Raw genomic sequence first — 21,101 nt, 5'->3', positions numbered from 1 at the left:
CCCAAGTCTGTTCCAGGACTTTTCACCTTTGATATTTTAAACAAAATAGTGGTTCCAATTATTTTTGTTAAAAATTTTTGAGCCCAACATATTAAAATAGACCAGCTTTTTGATTTTAAAAAGACGTTCTTGTCTAGGTTATATAAAATAGCGTTACTGTTTGCAATACTATAGTGAAGGTTGTGCCAGTGCTTCCATTTATAAAGCCCTATTTTTAAGGACATATAGCTTGGCCATAAAACTTGCTCAGTGTTGAAACTTTGCATGCCAAACCTCACCCTAATAGCAGTATCTCTTTTATTATTTTAAGTTTTTTCTTCTGAAAAATTTGCCAAGTTTCCTTGTTTGGACAAGCTTTTGTACATGTGAAACTGAAACTGCTTCACACTAGAGTATCTGACAGGTACCTCATATAATCTGTCAATTTAACATCTTAAATACCAAGTCATTAATTCTGATCAACTTTCATTGAATTAGAGGTAAGTATTCAGTTAACTTTGAAAGAATGCTTCATGCTATGTTTTAAAACTAATTTTTACAGTGAACCTTAAGTCATACTGGACTCAATTTTTTTACAGTTTGGTGGATAAATGTACCCATGGTCATTTGAGCTGCAAATACCCTCCCCCAGATATCCTTAGCTATCCTAAGCTTTTTTCTCTTGGGGGCGGGCAGCTCTTCTCAAACTAGAAATTGACAAAACAATTGAGAGTATTTCTGATCTGATCATTTCGGTAACAAGTTTCAACCTAAAAAAAGTTTATGACTAAGACATAAATCCATAAAAAATAAAGTTTATAATGGAAATGCTGACAGAACATTATTAGTATTGGTACCACTGTAGTGTAAACATTGTCAAAAATTCACAATTCATCAGTAATCGTTTTCATAGAAAACTTTTAGTTAGGGGATGTGTAGACAGAAGATAATATGCTCAGTTGACTTGATATTTTTACCTACTGGAAAGTAGACTAGAAAACGAGAACACACAGTATAAGAAGCATATGATTAAAGATAACCAAGTCATCTTATCACATCTTTTATCATTACAGAACTACATCCTACACTATACTTTCTTGTCCTTTCTCTAGCAATGTGATAATTTACTCACAGCTTTTGAAACCTTAAGAGCTGTTCATATTACATTTTCCAGTAGGAATTGAGTTATATTTTATGCTAATATTGGTTACATTCAGCAAGTCATAAATAGCCCAGTTTCATGACCTGCAAGGTGGAGCGTTAGACTTCAACTCACAATGGAAAAATCTTTTTTATGTGCTTACACGAGAGTTTGTATTCTTTCTGCTGAATAAAAGCACTACAAAACAGATACACTCCTCAAGCTCTTACATAGTGTGGTGTGTGAACCCTGGCTACTATGAGACAGTGAAGTATTCATCATTCATTTGATCTTATGTTAATCAGTAAGTTTCTCTTTGAAATTATTCTGATTATGGGTAACTTTCTTGGTTAAAGCAGAGAATATGATTTTGAAAGAGAAAATGACATTGAAAAGAATTTTTCTTCCCAACTTCTCCTGAATAGATATTATTTTAAAATTTATTTACATCACTGAAATAATTTAAAATTAAGCTCACCTAAGTACAGTATGTTAAAATTTCACTGCAAAAGCATTATGAGAACTGTACATGAAAAGCGTCAAGTACCACTCAATATAGGATATGAGATGCTAAGACTGAAAAGCGACATCATTTGCCATTTGAAATAGTGCTGGGAAGGAATTGGGCATAGGTCGAGGGTTAATATTAATGTTTCTATTAATGTCTTTTGCCTGATTTTTAGCTTTTATCAAAGCTGAAAATATTAAATGAAGTTTCAGTATAGTTTGGGCTACTAGGTAGAAATAGAATTGTTAAAATATTGAATGTAAATATTCTTAAAACAGGTTTTAACTAAATAGGCATATAGTTATGATGTACACTAACAAATTTAACTATATATGTCAGTATTTTGAAGACTTAAATTCACCAAAGCTTTCACAAAACAAGATGTGAACAGTCATAGGGATAGCATCCATTGGCTTATGAAATAATCTTAGCCTAGTGATTGACAGTTAACTTTTATTCATAGATTCTGAAACTGCTTTACAAATGTTTGTTCCACTTTGTAAAACCATCTGCTATGTAGTAGAGAGTCTTAATTTTAATGTACCTGTCTTTAAATAATTGAAAACTAAAGCAGTTTATTATTCTGAAGTAGCAACACAGATCATTTTGTATCTCAGACTTTTCTTTTTTTTTTTTTGATGTTACCAAAATTTGCAGATAAAGCAACATATTTAAGCTGTCTTTAAACTTGATTTGAGAAATATCCTTGGTTTTAACCAAAAACACCTGGGAAATTTGTAGTTAATCCTGATAGCTCTTCTGCTACCATCAGGTACCGGAGCATTAGGTACTGTAGATATTCCTGACTTAATTTTTGACAGAAAAGTTAAGGGTAATCTTGAGTCATGGCATATATTGAAAGACCATCAGCTTTAACTGTAAATTTCCTAGTTGTTCTTGCTTTGTCAAAATCGTACTATTTTTGCTTTCCTTTTAAAATCATTAACTGTATGATAATCACTACATGCCTAAAAATATGTAGGTGAAAATCCAGTTTTTTTCTTAAATAGCTAATACTAAAAAAGGAAACTCCAAAGTGACTCAAGTGCTAAAAACTAGTTTTATTTAGTTTGCTCTTTTTTCCTAAAGCAGATTGATGGAAGACCATTATGGATGGAGAAATAGATGACAAATTGGTCAGTTTCCAAACTGGAAGCAAATTCCCATCACTAGTGAAAAATTCCTACTGGAAATCCTGGCTTTACTTCTTTTCACAATTTTTTCTGACTCTGTATACTTTGAATGATCTCACTCTAAATTTGTGTTGTCTGACACATTTCTTAGGTTGTTGGTGGTTGGCAGAACTAGTGAATTTCAAGCCCTGTACACAGTAGTTTTGCATGCTGATTTAAGAAATAGTCTGTAGTGTTGTCTGTTGCACTTTGCTCTGCTTCATAATGATAATTACATTTGGAGGAAAAGTACTGTAGTCTCAACTGGTGGTGTTAATATTGCTATTTGTAAACCTGTAATGTGATTGAACTGTGGTCATGGCATTGTGTTTTTGGAAAAAATATGAAACAACCATTGATGCTTATCATTTGGATAGATGTTTGTTTTATTTGCATGCTTTAAGAAACTACAGCTATATTGGAGCTTACAAGTTTGGAGCTGGCAAAGAGCATGCAAAAGAGGGGATGCTATTCATTATGTCTTGTTTATTTCCAAATTTGTCCCCATTTTGCATTTTTTTCCCTAAATTTGAAAAAATCATATCCCTTTTTCATGGCAAAAGACTGATAATCACATCTAAAGTTTAGGGGGAAAGATCTGTATTAGTAATTGTATTCACTAGAAGGGCTTCCAACTGCCTGCTACTAAGTCATATAACATATTTATAAAGGAAATATGAAAATGGCTTAAACATGGCTTAACATATTTCTTTTGGTAAAAATATATTTTTTAAATCACTTTTAAAAGCACAGATCTTTTTGCCTCTAGAAAGGGAAGTTGCATTCTCATTTTTAGTGTTTAAACTCAATTCTTTTTCTTGTTTTAGATTTTAAAGTGGTCTAATTTAAAATTAAAGCTGCATTATGTTTGGCTTCCAAGAAGGAAGAGCAGAGAGATCAATTTTTTTTCCTCTTGTGGAAGAAGTTTCCATTTCAGTATCAGGACGAATACCACACATTGAAAACAGATGTTGAATAATCTGGTAGCTATTTAGATATACCTCTGTATATAAAGTTAGTGTAAACTTATAGGGGTTACTTTAAAATAAAGAGATTCACATAACTGCTTTATTTGTTCTGTCACAATGTTTGATGCCTGTAAATCCAGGGTTTTCATCTTTTGACTTAGATTGCAAAATTAATACTGCTATCCCTGTTTCATATGCCCTTTAAAATGTTATCTTTTTCCAAAGGATAAATAACAAAATTCTCTACTATGCATTGCCCTTTGTCAAATTGAAACAATGATGTCCATAGTGGAAGTCAAAAGTTAATGGGAAGTCTGTTTTGTAGGAAACCTGAAAACATTTTTTCATGAAGCTTATCCTGTATAATAATATAACATGATGCAGCTTTAATAGACTAAATCTAACCTTGACTTCTTAAGTTCAACTTCATTCCGTGCTTCTCAGCCTCTTGTTACAATTAATGCCCATTAACTGGTAACTTCTGAAACTAACCGAGAGGCTTTTGGAATACTGTATTTAATCTCTGCCCTACAGCACAAGCAGCGCTGCCCTGTGCTGGAGGACCAGTTGGTGGATCTGGTTGTTTATGCCATGGAGCGATCTGAGACCGAGGAGAAGTTTGACGATGGGGGAACAAGCCAACTCCTGTGGCAGCATCTCTCAAGTCAGCTCATTTTCTTTGTGCTTTTCCAGTTTGCAAGTTTTCCACATATGGTGCTTTCTCTTCATCAGAAGGTATGTACTAAATCTTATGGTCGGAGTGACTTCACCTGTTGATTACTGTATTTTAGACTGCTGTGGGCATTCCCTAGTGATTTTAGAACTGACAGAAGTTCTGAGCCCTAATTTCTGTCCTGTTTAGTGCTTTTATAGTTTCTTAACTTTTTACTTTCTTGTCACTGTAAAAACAGGATTCAGTCATTCATTCTATGTATTCTCAGTGCAGGCACCAGCAGATACAAGATGAAAAGGCACTGTAATATCCTCAAGGAGCACCTCACTAGAGGAGGGGATACTTTATATATATATATATACATATATATATATGTATGTGTATATATATATAGAGTACATATATATATGTATGTATATACATACACACACACACAACATGATTATATCTTAATAGTTGTTATAATGAAAGCACATTTCCCTGCAATACAAATAAAAGGTAATAGTCCCTAAGGTTGCAGTGAGCCAAAATCACACGACTGCACTCCAGCCTCGGCGACAGAGCGAGACTCTGTGTCAAAAAAAAAAAAAAAAAAAAAAAAGGAATAGTCTCTATCAGAAATATCAGGGATGGCTGTATCAAAGAGATCTTTAAGCTAACACTTGAAGGACAAATAGAAACTTGCTGAGAGAAAAAGAAAAGTGTTTCCTAGCAATAAAACCATCATTTAGAAAGGGATAGAGATGTGTGAGAACTGGAAATAAAAATATAAAGGGGAAATCGTTGATGAGATAAGGAAGGCAGGAAAGCAAGAGCAGACATGGAGAACTTTGAATGGCCATGTGCCTGTTCTAAGGAGTTTAGATTTTGTTTTGGAGGCAATGCAGAGGAGAATGGCATCATCATATGCAAGTTGGAAAAATGCTAATGTCCACATGGAGAAAGAAGGTGGTGTAGCGATGGACAGGTACAAAGCCAGAAGCAAGGAAATTAGTGAGAGATACTACAGTGGACTAGGTGAAAGATGCTGAAGGCCTAAACCAGGACAGAAAGGAGGAGCCAGAGATCAGGTACACTGACGTGGAATAGGACTAGGTGACTGACAGCGAATACAGAGAGTAGCGGGAGTCTAGGCTTGCTGAGTGGTTCCTACTGTGGGAATGAATAGAAGGGAGGACGATGAATCCAAAAAAGGGAGACAAGTGGAAGACTTAAGTTTGTGGGAAAAGACATTTTTTGTCAAAAATTTTAGACATATTGAATGGGAATAAAAGTTGTTTTACATAACATCTCCACAGCATGAATTATCTTGGGGAAAATTTTTCATAAATATTGTTAAAATCCTTTCAACCACCTTCTCCCAGAAACCACCATTAGTTTCTGTTATAATGTACAGAAAACCAGCCGGGTGGGGTGGCTCACTCCTGTAATCCCAGCACTTTGGGAGGCCGAAGCCGGTGGATTGCTTGAGTTCAGGAGTTCGAGACCAGCCTGGGAAACATGGCAAGACCCCATCTCTATCCTTGTTCTAAAAAGATACATATAAATAAACAAGAAACAAAGTGTACAGAAAATGAGGAAGCATGTTTTATGACAACCAGTCCATGACAATTTCAAATTAAAAAAAAAAAATCCTTTTGGTGTGATAGAGTATTCCCCAGGTTTTGATGAGATTTTTAAAATAAGAATTATCCCATATTAAACTTGATTCTCATGCACACATGATCAACTTAAAGAGGTGGTGTTGTGCATGTTGTATATGACTATGTTCTAAAACATTGCATTTTTATATGCATTAGTTGTTTTGGGGAGCAGGAAATAAGCATATATATAATATTAAAATAATTTAGCAGGTTTTGCATGGTGTGTCTTGAATTGAGACTAAGTAATTACTAAGTGCCAAAGTTAGATGCTGACTTTCTCAGAGCAAGAACCAGGTTTCTCCTTAAAAACAAAAACAAAAAAACAACAAAAACTTCCTGTATTCATCTCTTTAAGTAGCAGTGTATACATGTGTATTTAAACATCTTTTATAGTTAGCAGGGCGAGGACTGATTAAAGGCAGAGATCATCTTATGTGGGTTCTCCTGCAATTCATTTCTGGAAGTATTCAGAAAAATGCACTAGCTGATTTTCTCCCTGTGATGAAGCTCTTCGACTTGCTATACCCAGAAAAAGAAGTAAGCTTTACTGAGTAACTATTCATAACAACATGATGAGTAAATTATGTCTAATTTATGTTTAAGGATTTTAGTGTGATTTTGTGTATTTCTAAAGTTTATGCTAAATCACAATTGAATGTTAAGTGTAGCAAGCTCTTTCTCTACATTCTAGGTAGGTCTACAGTTTTACAAATCACTAAAGCTGTTTTAATCTATATACATCATTGAATGGCCAGATAACAGTCTTTATTAATAGCTATTTTTTCTTTGACAGTTGAGCCTCAGTATGTCCCCTGGGTATTTTATCATATAAGATATTTGAGTAAAATGTGATGTATTTTGATGATTGCCATTTTCTAGAAGTACTTTATCATGAATTGTTGTTGTTGTTGTTGTTGTTGTTAAGGAGTTTCACTGTTGTCACCCAGGCTGGAGTGCAGTGGCGTGATCTCAGCTCACTGCAACCTCCACCTCCTGGGTTGAAGCAATTCTCCTGCCTCAGCCTCCCGAGTAGCTGAGATTACATGCACATGCCAACATGCCCGACTAATTTTTGTATTTTTGGTAGAGACAGGGTTTCGCCGTGTTGGCCAGGCTGGTCTTGAACTCCTGACCTTAGGTGATCTGCCCAGAAAATTTTAAGATGAAACAAGAGTATTTCTTGATGATGGGTATAACATGATGGGGTTACTGTAACCCCACCATGCACTAGCTGTAACCCCACCATGCACTAGCTGTAACCCCACCATGTTATACCCATCATCAAGAAATACTCTTGTTTCATCTTTCCTCCTTATTTTTTTTGTTAATGTTGGACAATTTTCAAGCAAATCCCAGACATCCATATCATTTTACCCATTAATAGTCAATATGTTTAAATGTAATTATTTAGGTTGCGTATTTCTTAGATTTTTATCTGTTCTTAAAAATTATTATGAGACTTTTAGAAAGTCTTGTTTTTAGTTACATTTGTCACTTTAGTAAGATTTCATGATGATGTGTTTTAATTTTTTAAAAGTAAAAATTAAAAATTTATTTTTATTTGAGAATGCTCTGCGATAGTAGGAAAAGCTTGACCAAGCACCTGTGAATATGTGTTACTTAAAGCAAGTAAAAACATATACCAAATAAAGCATCTTGTAATAATTTCAAAATTTTATGGCTGTTAGACCTTCTGATTTGTATTATTGAATTATCGGGGCTAAAGTAAGACATGATATGCTAAAAAGAGTTATATTAGAAATTGATTACTAAAATACACATAATTATTTAATTCTTCTCTTTCTTCTATTGTGTTATTTTTCAAATTGTTATTTTTCAGTATATCCCAGTTCCTGATATTAACAAACCCCAGTCAACCCATGCCTTTGCAATGACCTGTATTTGGATTCATCTCAATAGAAAAGCTCAAAATGACAACTCCAAGCTACAGATTCCAATACCTCATTCCCTAAGACTTCACCATGAGTAAGTTATTTGTTGCTTGATACTTAATTTTCTTGTTTAATTAATAGCGGATTGTAGACTAATATTGGTCTCGGTGTTTGTGTGAAATTTGGAAATCTCCGCATACCCACTATAGGTAAGGGCAAATACTTGATGTATATGTCATAGCAGGAGAATCTGACCAGTACCTATATCAGGAAACAGCTACAAGGTTAGTCTTGCTTATATGTATAGATTTTTTTTTTTAATTTTTAAGGCTGATCTTCAGTTGTATATGTTATACTTTAAAGTTATTAATATAATGAAAGCATATCAATTTTTATAAATGTAAAAATGTTTCAGAATTTCCCAAGTGCTTGGAACTTCAGCATAAGCTGACTGAGATATCATTCATCTCTGGGCTGCCAGGATTGATTGAGCTGATCTGGCTGGCATGCCCCTTAATATCTCTTCCAAAGTTGTGATGACTCAATGAAGATACCATTCTTAGATAGTATTGTATTGTAGTCAAGGGTGCTAGGAGTAGCCTAACTTCCCACCTAGAACTTCTGAGAAGGACTGCCACTTCTCTTCACAGGAGATGGCAGGATTGTCAGACTTGATACTTCATTTGGTTTTCATTTTATGAGACAGCCCTTAACCACCTTTTCATAGTGGTATCTGTAATGAAGACATTGTTGTGTTTATACAGACAGATAATAAATAGAAACCTGGTTCATAGACTTGTGAGTTATTTCTTCATTCTCTGAAACTTAGCCTAATATGGTGGTCATATATGTAGTGCATACTTAACAGTACCCATTAATTGTTTATTTAAAATTATTTTTCTTCTGAAATGCTACTCAAACTTCTATGTGTATTCCCACTGTACATTTCACACAGAAACTATAATACCTATAGGAACAAAGATAGCATTAATAAATAATTGCATAAAATTGAACTTTTAAAAAAATACAAATTAACATTATGGAAGTTATTTTCATTTTTTCTTTTTAATGGAACGTGAATATTTAGGTTCCTGCAGCAGAGTCTAAGAAATAAAAGTTTACAGATGAATGACTATAAGATTGCTCTATTGTGTAATGCATACTCTACAAATTCAGAATGTTTTACATTACCCATGGGAGCTCTGGTAGAAACTATTTATGGAAATGGAATTATGAGGATACCTCTCCCTGGAACAAACTGTATGGCTTCAGGATCTATTACCCCCTTACCTATGAACCTCCTGGATTCACTGACAGTTCATGCCAAAATGAGGTATGTTCTTTTTATTAATTTGGTTCCATGTCAGGGAATTGATACGAGTATAGTATAAACCTTTATTTCATGATTTTATGTGCGTATTATTTCATAGTCAGGTACATTTGAGAAAAAAAAGTTAGCTTTATTTTATTACAAAAGTAAATATTTTTTATTATAGGAATTCTAGGATAAACAAACCCAAAGAAAGTAATTGTTGTAATCTCTACATGAGAGATAAGCATTATAAAAATTTTTTGCACATTTTTTTTCATTTTTTATAGATAGTTAAGAATGAGGACTAGTGTAGCTAGAGCTTCCAACATTTTTGGAAAGGGCTAGAAATCCAGATTTTTTATTAGTAGTCTTTCAGCTTTTAAGTATTGGCTCAAATTTGAAACAACCACTGTATAGGCCAAAGAGAATTTGTCTGTGGGCCTCCAAGTGGAGCATCAGTCCTGGTAGAGCTATGCTCTTTTTCAAATGGTAACCATTGTGATAGAATTACACATGTGCTTCACTTGCATATATAACAGATTTGAGCAAAGCCCCATTAGAACGTAACATTTGGGTCTTAGCAGTGATTTATTAAAGTAAATCTGTGACAAAAGTTATTTAATTTCCCAAATGTATTTTGATGCATCATTTGAGTGACCAAAATCCCTCAAGCATGCTCTTATGAGTTGAATCCAAAGTTTGTTTTTCCATGAGCAGGGGGATCCGTATGCATATTGAAAGCGCCACAGAAACGGAATGAGTCTCAGATTGTGCAGTGCATCCTTACCAAGTGTCCTGCACAGCTTAAACACATTAAATGAATCAACTTCATTTGAATCATTTAAGTTCAGATTTATACTAAGTTACTTCTAAGTAGAGTAGCCCCTATGTTTATGTCAAAAATATGGATTTTTATTTTCTTCCCTTTTTTTCTCCTCAGCCTTATTCACAGCATTGCAACCAGGGTGATAAAACTTGCTCATGCAAAGTCCAGTGTGGCCTTGGCTCCAGCCCTAGTGGAAACTTACAGTCGTTTATTGGTCTATATGGAAATAGAGTCTTTGGGCATCAAAGGATTTATCAGTAAGACAGGACTTTCTGGTGTTTATAACTATTAACCCATTCATTAACTCTAAAGTTACTTTTCTAGGTCCTGGGGACACAGCAGAGAACAAGTCACCACCATGATGGAGCTTATGGAGGAGGACATTAAATAAATGAAATATACAATATGTCAGATGATACATGTTATAGAGAAAAATAAAGCAAAAAGGAATAGGAAGTGTGAGGGTTGGGGGGTTTGTTGCATTTTTAAGTAAAGTGGTAAGAAAAGGTTAATGTGCTAGGTGCCTGGGATGCAGTGAGCAGGATAGACCTGGTCCCTGTCCTCATGCAAATGGATTCTGCCTGAGGCAGCAATGCTGTCCTCCAGTGCATACGAAGTCTGACTGGAAATAAAGAAGGAATTTTCCTACCTTGCAGAAGATACATTATAATGTCTCATTTATTATATAGTTCTAAAATAATAGATACTTTCTGATATAGAAGTGTTTTTCTGATTCATGGTAATTCCAGCTTTTCACGAATACAGCATAGTCTTAATTTTAACCACAATAACTCTTCTTAGATAACTGATTGTTGAACAAAACTTTCTTGGGGGTAGGAGGAAACAAGGGCAGGTATAATACAATTTTTTGTATTAAAAAGTGAACCTCATACTTCAAAAGGTATGGAACATTAATTGTCTAAAAATAAAAGATATCAGAATTGAGAAGATTAATGTTTTTTCATATCTTGTCTCATTTTATTTTTCCAGATAAACATGATTATCAATTGCCAAATCCCAGGAAAAAAGCAAACTTGATATTATAGTTAGGATCTGAATTTTTCCTTACTGTTAAAGTAGAAAATAAGAAAATATGGAGAATATATATGTGTGTGGGCGTGTGTATTTTCACAATCAAATCTTTATATTTTACTCAATGTGACTTTCTTCAAATATCTTTTCATGCATAGCCTTTAATAATTGGTACCTTAAATTGTCTTTTTCCTCCAGGTCAGCTTTTGCCAACTGTTTTCAAATCACATGCATGGGGGATCTTACACACACTCCTTGAGATGTTTAGCTACCGGATGCATCATATTCAGCCTCATTACAGAGTTCAGCTCCTGAGTCATCTTCATACTTTGGCTGCAGTTGCACAAACAAACCAGAACCAGCTCCATCTTTGGTGAGCTCATTGAAGACCATCTTTCCTTAAGATTTATTAGAAACTTTCTTGGAGATGAGGTTCTTAATCCTTTACCTTTACCTTATAGTTTTTTTTTTTATTATTATTCATCTGTCATAAAACTTCTCTGCTTCTAAAGTATTTTGTTTCCAGTATAGGAGCAGAGTCCAGCTTTTTAAATAGAAACTGATTAAGATAGTTGAGTCCTTCCTTCAGGATCTTTGGACTGAGAATTAGTACTTCCAGGGTATTTATTATTATGTTGTAACTTAGCCCTTTAGAATGCTGGTTTTAAGTATACTTCAGATTATGGTTAAAGTATCATGTCACATTGATTTTGCTTTACATTAAAATATATTTTAGATAGAAAAATATAATTTTTGAAATGCAGTATCTCCAGGTGAAATTTTTTAGTCCTATAGGCGACAAGCCATCTTTTTCAAATGTGTAAAAAGTCACGATTTTCACTATAAAATTGGACACATTAGGTTTTTTAAACAAATTAAGCAACATTTATTCTCACACAAAAGTGTTTTTTTAAAGAAGGGATAGTCATAGATTGCATGTTTTTCCATTGTAATTAACCTTAGATTTAATTCCATAATTCTGAAATTTTTTTACATTTCTTTTTATTCTCCCAATTTTCAGTGTCGAGAGCACTGCTCTCAGGCTTATAACAGCATTAGGTAGCTCAGAGGTACAACCGCAGTTTACACGCTTCCTTAGTGATCCCAAAACAGTGCTCTCAGCAGAATCTGAAGAACTGAACCGAGCCTTGATATTGACCTTGGCTAGAGCAACTCATGTAACAGGTACGGTGAATATGTGACTACAAACAACAACAGATGAATTAAAGTGTGCCATGATTCTACTAATTACTATAGTTGTAACATACTAAAAAGATACTTTTCATTTGTTTGAAAAAAGCCTGTTGTTTTGATATCTTCACTATTTCACTCATTTATGGAAGCTCTTTTGTGTACCATCATTCTATTAATAACTGCGTTGAGCATCGTTTTCAGCTATCCATAATTTTAAAGTAGTAATACTTTAAGCTTTTTGGTCTCAGGACTGCTTTACACTCTTAAAAACAAAATTGAAATTCCCAAAGAGTTTCTGTTTATATGGATTATATCTATGGATATTTATTATATTAGATATTAAAATTAAGAAGTTTAAAAATATTTATTAATTTGTTTTTAAATAGCAATAATAAACATTACATGTTAATATATGATGTTATAAAAAAAGTATATTTTCTAAAGCAAAACTTTAGTGAGAAGAGGTGCCATTGTTTGACATTTTTGCTTCTCTAATATCTGGTGTAAAGGAAGACATAGTTTGGATTCTCATCTGCTTAGACATTTAATCCATTGAAGTTTTAGTTGAAGTAAGTGAAAAATGTGGCCTCACACAGATGAGGTTGGAAAGAGAGGAGTATTTTAATAGCTTTTTCAGATAATTGGGAATGTTCTTTGACATCACATGGAAAAATGATAGTTGCTTAAAGGTTAGCTGCAATATGGAATCCAAAACCCCCAGTAAACTTCATGTACTTTGTTACATTATAATCTGTACATCTGTTTTATACATTTAGTGGATTTTTAAATCCATGCATGTTTTGTAACTTCATGAATTATTCATTTTGAAAATACTGGTTCACTGAGTTACGTAGATCTAGCAAACGTTGACATTTTGTTTATACAGTATCAGAAAATTACATTTGTTAATATCACTGCAAAGTTTATTAGAAAAATCTAAGTTTTGGAATGCTATCATGTCGTGGTAGATACAGGTTTTCCAAAATTTCAATTTTTACTTGAAAGGTCAAATTTTATCATTGGAAAAAGTTACTATCATTTGTTTTCCTTAAAGTGACAAGCTCATTTTGTTAATTTTCAAGAAAATGTCTGCTAAATACGTAAGTCTAGCTAGCTATAGTTTTCTGTCAGACGTTCTTTCAAGTAAAATTGGAATTCAAAAAAAAAAAAGCAGCTGATTTAACTCAGTGCTCAGTCAGTCACACAAGTGCACAAGTGTTTTTCCTCAAGACACCCATCAAACTTGGAACACTAGGCATATGCTTCCCCTTTTGTTACATATGATGTTAAAAATAGGTGTCGAGATTGACACTGGCACTTTTCTTTCACTGAGTGCATGTGCTGGAGAATACAAAGCCTTTTCATCTAGTCTGGCACCACTGTTTGATTTGTGCTTAGGACCAGCAGTTTTACCACCATTGCTTTTGTACCGTCAGTGCTCATACCAAGTGAAAAAGCCTGATATCTTTTTATTATTATTTGACCTCATTGAATCTTTGAAGGGCTATTGGGGAATCCCCAAGAGGTCTACAGACCACACTTGAGAACTGATGTTTTAAAGAGATAGTTATTGGTTTTAGCAACCTCAAATACGTTTATGTAAATTATTTTGTTTTACATAAAGAACCCTCTTCAATTCTGAGATTTATACATGCATTATGTAATTATTTCACTCACCAAAAAAGATATCTTTCTTTATTCTGTTCCCTTGGCCGAATAAAGTACTACTAAATCAGTGTCAAAGTAAATGAACAGTAGTGATGGGCTTGTATTACTGTTATCGCTGGTACTCTGTAACCTCAAAAAAAGAGATTTCAAATGTCTTTTGTCATCTTTTCATAAACTGTTCTCATATTTTCTAATGTGATCATCCAGATCATTCATAAACTAAGCAAATTTAGGTTCTAAGCTGAATATAACTAGTTAAGCAGTGAATGCACTGCAGTGAAATTCTCAGTGTACATAATTATTATTTTCGCTATAATCTTTTATGAATTGTGGATATAATCATTTATATCTGGATTACATCTATTTGTTTATGTTTAGATTTTTTTACAGGCTCTGATTCAATTCAGGGAACTTGGTGTAAAGACATACTTCAGACCATCATGAGTTTCACTCCTCATAATTGGGCTTCACACACCCTGAGCTGTTTTCCAGGCCCACTACAGGTAATTTGGTCTTGAATTACTTATTGAATGCACATGAAATCCTTCTTCCCATTCACAATGGTGTTCTAGAGTGAGTCTTGGTGACTTCTGAATAAAATTAGCTTTTATTTATTTTAAAAAATATTTAGGGGCTGGGCATGGTGGCACAAGCCTCTAGTCTTAACTGCTTGAGAGGCTGAGGCAAGGGGGATGGCTTGAGCCCAGGAATTCAGGTTCACAAGGAACTATGGTCACACCACTGTACCACAGCCTGGGTGACAGAGCCAGACCCTGTCTGTAGAAAAAAAAAAAAAAGTCATTACTTACAAAATCTCTCAAGTTGTTCTGTGTCCTACTCTGGTACTGGACATGTTTCTAAAAATTTAATTATTATGGTTTCATCTTAGTTAACAGTTTTAAGGGGAGGAAGAGTAGAAAGAGGAAAAAAATAAAAGTGAAAAAAATTGAAAAAGAGAAAAAAATAGTTAATGGTTTTAGAATCTCATGAAAATTAACATAGTACCTGAAAACTTTTTTCTCTCTCATAGAACTGAAATGGGGAGAAGTATAACGTAATGGAGCTTCACAGAGTGTGCGTAATATGACACTTCACTGAATTTTTTTCTTAATCACAGAAAAACTGTAAACCTGGCTTTTCTAATAAGGAGAAAGGCAAACCTCATCTGTCTTCTCCTTTTCAGAAAAAATGTTAGGCATGATGAACATCCATTTTTCATAACTCCTGGTAGGGCTAGAGCATTTGGTTTTTAAACTTACCAAATCACCTGGAGGGCTTGCTAAGCTGCAGTTGGCTGGGCCCCCAGCCACAGAGCTTCTGATTCAGTAAATCTGGGATAAGGTCTGAGAATTTTGCATTTCTTGTAAGACCCAGATGATGCTGATACCGCTGGTGTTGGGACCACACTCTGAGAATCACTGGGCTAGTGCAATGGATTTTCCTCAAAGACACTAACATATGTAGCCAAAGGGTAGAGACACTTCATTCTTTTTTTTCTTTTTAAGATTGGCGGAAGTATCAACAGATGATTGAAGAAGCTTTGAATTCAGGCTTACTTAGAATTTCCATTTAGGAAATCTAGGAAAAGGAATCTTGGAGATAATCTAGTCAAGCTTATGTATTTTCCAGACACAGAAATTCAGGCCTTAATTGCTGAGTTGCTCAAGGTGACCTAGAGTTTATTAGTGTCAGAATCAAGTCTAGAACTGGTTTATTAACTCCATATCCAGTGCTCTTTCTACTATAACCAATGAAATAAACTTCTAATCCTCTTTTTAGGCATTCTTCAAACAAAATAATGTGCCTCAGGAAAGCCGTTTTAATCTGAAAAAAAATGTGGAGGAGGAGTATAGGAAGTGGAAGTCAATGAGCAACGAAAACGACATTATTACCCACTTCTCTATGCAGGGCTCCCCTCCTCTCTTTCTTTGTCTTCTCTGGAAAATGCTCTTGGAAACAGATCATATTAATCAGATTGGCTATAGGTAAGTCAAAAACCTAATTTGCATTCCATTTGGCAAATTGTTGTATCCATACAACAATGGAGTTTATGTTTTACTCTCTGCCTTCCAGAGTATTAGAGAGAATTGGAGCCAGGGCCTTGGTAGCCCATGTGAGGACATTTGCAGATTTCCTGGTATATGAGTTTTCTACATCAGCAGGGGGTCAGCAACTCAATAAATGCATTGAAATTCTTAATGACATGGTATGGAAGTATAACATTGTTACACTGGACAGATTAATTCTCTGCCTGGTAAGAATAAATACATTTCTAAGCTTATTCTCTTAGATCAAGATGTATGACTAATATATGTTATGCCAATCTGCTCTATATTGCTTTGAAGGATTTAATGAATTTATACTATATCAAGCATTGCTGTCACTTCCCTAAAGAGCCGGAAATTTTCCAATTTCTGTTTTTGTTTGTTTTTGTTTTTTTGTTTGTTTTTTGAGACAGGGTCTCGCTCTGTCGCCCAGTGCAGTGGCGTGATCATGGCTCACTGCAGCCTCAACCTCCTGGTCTCAAGCAATCTCCTCCTGCCTCAGCCTCCTGAGTAGCTGGGAGTACAGGCATATGCTACCATACCCAGCTAGTTTTTTTTCTTTTTAACTTTTTTATAGAGATGGGGTTTCTCCATGTTGCCCAGGCTGGTCTCGAACTCCTGGGCTGAAGCAATCCTCCCTCTTCAGCTTCCCAAAGTGCTGGGATTACAGGCGTGAGCTACTGCTTCCAGCCCCAATTTCCTTATTCATTCATTTAATAAGTACATATTGAATATCAACTGTGTTCTATGTATAGAAGGTACAGAAGTAAATAAAATAGATGTGGTCCTAGCCTTGTGATACTTTGAAAATATGAGCAATTAGACCCTGAGTTGATTCTCCAAAACTCCCACTAGAGGGAGGAAGTAGCAGTAAGTCACTGTGTTTCTTTACAGAGTGCGAATATAACCATTTCTGTACACTTTGGTAACAAACATTCCCCAAATGTTTTTTTCTTCTCCTGACTTTGATGTCTATTTCCAGCAGAATTTTTTTTTTCTTTTTTTTTTTTTTTTTTTTTTGATATGGAGTCTTTCTCTGTCGCCCAGGCTGGAGTGCAGTGGCGTGATGTTGGCTCACTGCAAGCTCTGCCTTCCGGGTTCACGCCATTATCCTGCCTCAGCCTCCCAAGTAGCTGGGACTACAGGTGCCCACCACCACACCCGGCTAATTTTTTGTATTTTTAGTAGAGATGGGGTTTCACCGTGTTAGCCAGGATGGGCTCAATCTCCTGACCTCGTGTTCTGCCCGCCTCGGCCTCCGAAAGTTCTGGGATTACAAGTGTGAGCCACCGCGCCTGGCCTTCGGGTAGATTTCTTTAAAAAGATATTGAAGTAGGCTGGAAAATGCTACATTGAAAAAAATTCTATGGCGGTGACATTTGGAGTGGCATAGTTTAACGTTAACCCCTTAGCTGTGGAGCATAGATATAAAAGTAGTTATTATATTTTAGGGGGAATAATGTAAGTCTATAAATCAATAAGATGTCAGGATAAGATGGAGGTGTAGAAAAAATATTTCTAGGAAACAGTGAGAAATCTTATCTGCTTAGGTGATAGCTGTGAAAGATAGATTAAATTTTTAAAAGTAAAGATGGACATCCCAGGCAGAAGGAATGGTAAGCCAGAAATAGGCAAGAAAGGTCATATATGTTTGGGGAATACTGAACAGTTGGTTTGGGATAGACTAGACGTCTAAGGAAATTATAATAGTGAGATTTTACTTTGTTAAAATCTAGGCTTTCAGATGGCCCTCATGATTTTACACAGGTTGAACATTTTCATATAATTTTTCTGTTGTTTTTCAAAGGCCATGCGTAGTCACGAAGGAAATGAAGCCCAGGTTTGTTATTTCATAATTCAGTTGCTGTTACTCAAACCAAACGATTTTAGAAATCGAGTAAGTGACTTTGTGAAGGAAAATTCCCCAGAGCACTGGTTACAGAATGACTGGCACACCAAGCACATGAATTATCACAAGGTACTAGTCCTAATTGGTATTTCAAATAGTCCTTTTAAAGCCATACTTGAGTATTTGATGAAGTGATTTGGCCGTTTTCTCTCTGGTTCTAATGTTTTTTCTCTTGTCTATATAGAAGTAAGTTAGCTCTCTGAACTTCTTCAAGGTTTGAGAGTTTCTATAATGTTGAGAATAAATTGAAACTGCAGTTTTAGTGGACATAAGGACTTCTATAAAAAGAAGTAAAGTATAATCAAGTATAATTTTAAATGTTTCCTTGCAAAAAAAAATCTAAACAATGTTTTCACATTTAGCTCTTTTAAGAGAATTTTTTAAAAAATGCTCTAACCATTTATCATCTTCTCAATTCCACAGAAATATCCAGAGAAGTTGTATTTTGAGGGCCTCGCGGAACAGGTGGATCCTCCTGTACAGATCCAGTCTCCCTATCTGCCCATCTATTTTGGGAATGTGTGTCTTCGATTCCTTCCAGTATTTGATATAGTAATCCACAGATTTTTAGAGTTGCTTCCGGTATCCAAATCACTGGAGACTCTACTGGATCATCTAGGAGGCTTATATAAATTTCATGGTGAGCTTTTTCCAATTTTAATTTCGTCTAATACCTCCATTATCAAAAGTAGGATGGGCAGGACCACATGGTAATAGTGGCTCTAAAGGTTTTATTTTAAATATTTTAAAAATGAAGTGTTTTGAGGATAAGTACTATGGATGGTGCCATGAAGTATAAAATATACAACATAAAAATATAAACAAAAGTATGAGTTCAGAACAGGGTGATGTTACTGTAAACTAAACAGATCTTGGCGGCCTTCTTGGATGGGTAGGATTTGGACTTGATGCATCCAATTTATAGCAGCAGCAGGGAAAATATAGCACACGAGGCAGAAGGGATCATTTGGGGGAAATCATGGAGGAGATAAAGTATATTTGAAGAAAAATTGCTACATTGGGTTGAATTGAAAATTCTTACCAGAGAGTTCTAGAAATAAGATTGGAAAGACAGATTGTACCTAACTGTAGATCACCTTGAATGCTAGGCTGATTTTGTAATTGCAGATAATAATCAACTGGAAGTTATTGAGTATGATCATGGCATAGGAAACATTATTTCAGAAAGATACATCCAGTTATAGTTGGCAGCAGTCTTAGGATGAAGCCATTACAAGGACATGTCAAAAAGCTCAGTTGTGTGATTAGTATCTAAGCAACAGTGGTTGCATTGAAAATGAGAGAAAAGGGACAAATGGTCACAAAAGAAGGAACAGGACTTGATTGGCTGGTTATAAGGAGAATATTGAAAGAAAAAGACAACTAAAATTTTAAGCATAGTTACTGGAGAGTGGCAGGGTCAGTGACAGAAATGTGAAGGTCCTGGAGCAGCCACTCTGGGAACAAAGTGTTTGTCTGGCAGGCAGTCCTGCTTCATCTTTAAGATACCTTCCCTCAGAGCAGAAGTATGAATTGTGTGTTAACATGGTAGAATAGGCATAAAGTTCAAGTGAGCGTTCTTTTAAAAACATTTTTCTTTTGGATTAGGTAATATACATACTTGATGGGGTGGAGTATACAGTGAAAGGTAATTAGTCCCATCCTGGCCTCCAGCTACCCAGTTTCTTTCGTAGGCAGCCAGTGTTACCAGTCTCTTGCCATCCCCTCTTAGATATCCTGGCTGGTTTTGTTTGTTTGTTTGTTTGTTTGTTTGTTTGTTTTAACACAAGTGTTCTGTACCCTGTTTGTTTCAACTTTATCATGTATTAGGGTTGGTCATTTGTATTAGTACGTAAAGAGCTGCCTCATACATGCCAGATTTACTTTATCAGTCCCCTGTTTTTGACCTTTTAGGCTGTTTTTCATCTTTCGCTAGTATAAACAGGGCTGCAATGACATCCCTTGTTGTATGTCAAGGGATTAAAATTTATGCAGGATAAATTTTCAGAAATGGAATTGCTTCCACTTAAATAAAAACAAATATAAATACAAACTGTATATTACTAGAAACATTCTGAGCCTTCTGCCTCTCCTCAGATTAAAATATTCATAGTATACAATTGCCCAGCATGTGAAGTTGTTTCATAAATCTTCTGAGCTGTTTTTCAGTTATCTGGAAAGCAGTTGATCAGTTTTTCACAGTTATTAGTAACCAGTTAAACATTGTGGTGGTATGTTTTTTTCTTGGCAGATCGTCCAGTGACTTATCTGTATAACACTCTGCACTATTATGAAATGCACCTGAGAGACCGCGCATTTCTCAAACGAAAACTCGTCCATGCGATCATTGGCTCTCTGAAGGATAATCGACCGCAGGGCTGGTGTCTAAGTGACACTTACCTGAAATGCGCTATGAATGCACGAGAGGAAAATCCTTGGGTTCCAGATGACACCTACTATTGCAGATTGATTGGCAGACTAGTCGATAATATCCTTTTTATTGTGATTTTAGACTCCCAGAAATAACAGTATTTTGATTTATGAGAATATATTTTTTCTTTTAAAGTAATTTTTTATGTATTTCAAGGTTTTAATTTTTTTTAAGATCACTTCCATTTTCATCTCTGTAAAGATTTGAAATCTTAAATTAACAGCATCATGCCAATTAGGCTGAAATTCTGTTAAAATTTTTATTTTAGAACTTGAGGATAAGCGGTAAAAAAATTATATTTAAAAATAGACTTTATGGAGATTTGTTTCAAAGAAAAAATCTTATTCTTACATACTATATTTTGTAGCACATGCATCTGTGTGCTACTGGAGAACGTAGGATCTTGTTACTTTAAAAAAATTAATGTTTGTAGTAAATAATAAATGATAAAATATATTTTTCTTTATTGAAAAGGTATATTTTAGTGAAAATATACTTGGATGTTTATTTCTTCATTTTGATTTTATATTTTCAGTTATTAGCACTCTATACTTAATGTCTATAACCATACCACTATTTTACTAGGTAAGAAATTCTACATAAATGAGCATGACTTATTTTCCTACACAAAGGAATTTATTTTCTGAAGCAAAAGAATGACTCATTAGAAAATAATTTTCATATTAATGTCTTATAACTATTAAAAGA

General features: G+C 34.7%; 1 protein-coding gene across 15 annotated transcripts in view; it reads left to right on the top strand.

The window, feature by feature from the left end:
• The window catches only part of MED23 (mediator complex subunit 23), a 54,348-nt gene that overhangs the window by 13,765 nt on the left and 19,482 nt on the right, over positions 1 to 21,101 (top strand). For 8 of the 15 annotated variants that reach the window (NM_001270521.2, NM_015979.4, XM_011536257.4 and 5 more), the window contains 13 exons: positions 4,303 to 4,503; positions 6,478 to 6,621; positions 7,925 to 8,070; positions 9,064 to 9,309; positions 10,229 to 10,371; positions 11,345 to 11,519; positions 12,168 to 12,331; positions 14,387 to 14,511; positions 15,788 to 15,993; positions 16,082 to 16,262; positions 17,861 to 18,031; positions 18,386 to 18,602; positions 20,214 to 20,450. In NM_001270521.2, the coding sequence (NP_001257450.1) occupies positions 4,303 to 4,503; positions 6,478 to 6,621; positions 7,925 to 8,070; positions 9,064 to 9,309; positions 10,229 to 10,371; positions 11,345 to 11,519; positions 12,168 to 12,331; positions 14,387 to 14,511; positions 15,788 to 15,993; positions 16,082 to 16,262; positions 17,861 to 18,031; positions 18,386 to 18,602; positions 20,214 to 20,450 (2,356 nt within the window). Of the gene's footprint in view, positions 1 to 4,302; positions 4,504 to 6,477; positions 6,622 to 7,924; positions 8,071 to 9,063; positions 9,310 to 10,228; positions 10,372 to 11,344; positions 11,520 to 12,167; positions 12,332 to 14,386; positions 14,512 to 15,038; positions 15,083 to 15,787; positions 15,994 to 16,081; positions 16,263 to 17,860; positions 18,032 to 18,385; positions 18,603 to 20,213; positions 20,451 to 21,101 lie in introns of those variants that run through there. The other 7 variants (NM_001376523.1, NM_001376520.1, NM_001376521.1 and 4 more) reach the window with 5 other exon arrangements.

This window comes from Homo sapiens, chromosome 6, assembly GCF_000001405.40.
Source record: "Homo sapiens chromosome 6, GRCh38.p14 Primary Assembly".
Taxonomy (NCBI): Eukaryota; Metazoa; Chordata; class Mammalia; order Primates; family Hominidae; genus Homo; species Homo sapiens.
This window is presented reverse-complemented; position numbering and strand designations above follow the sequence as displayed.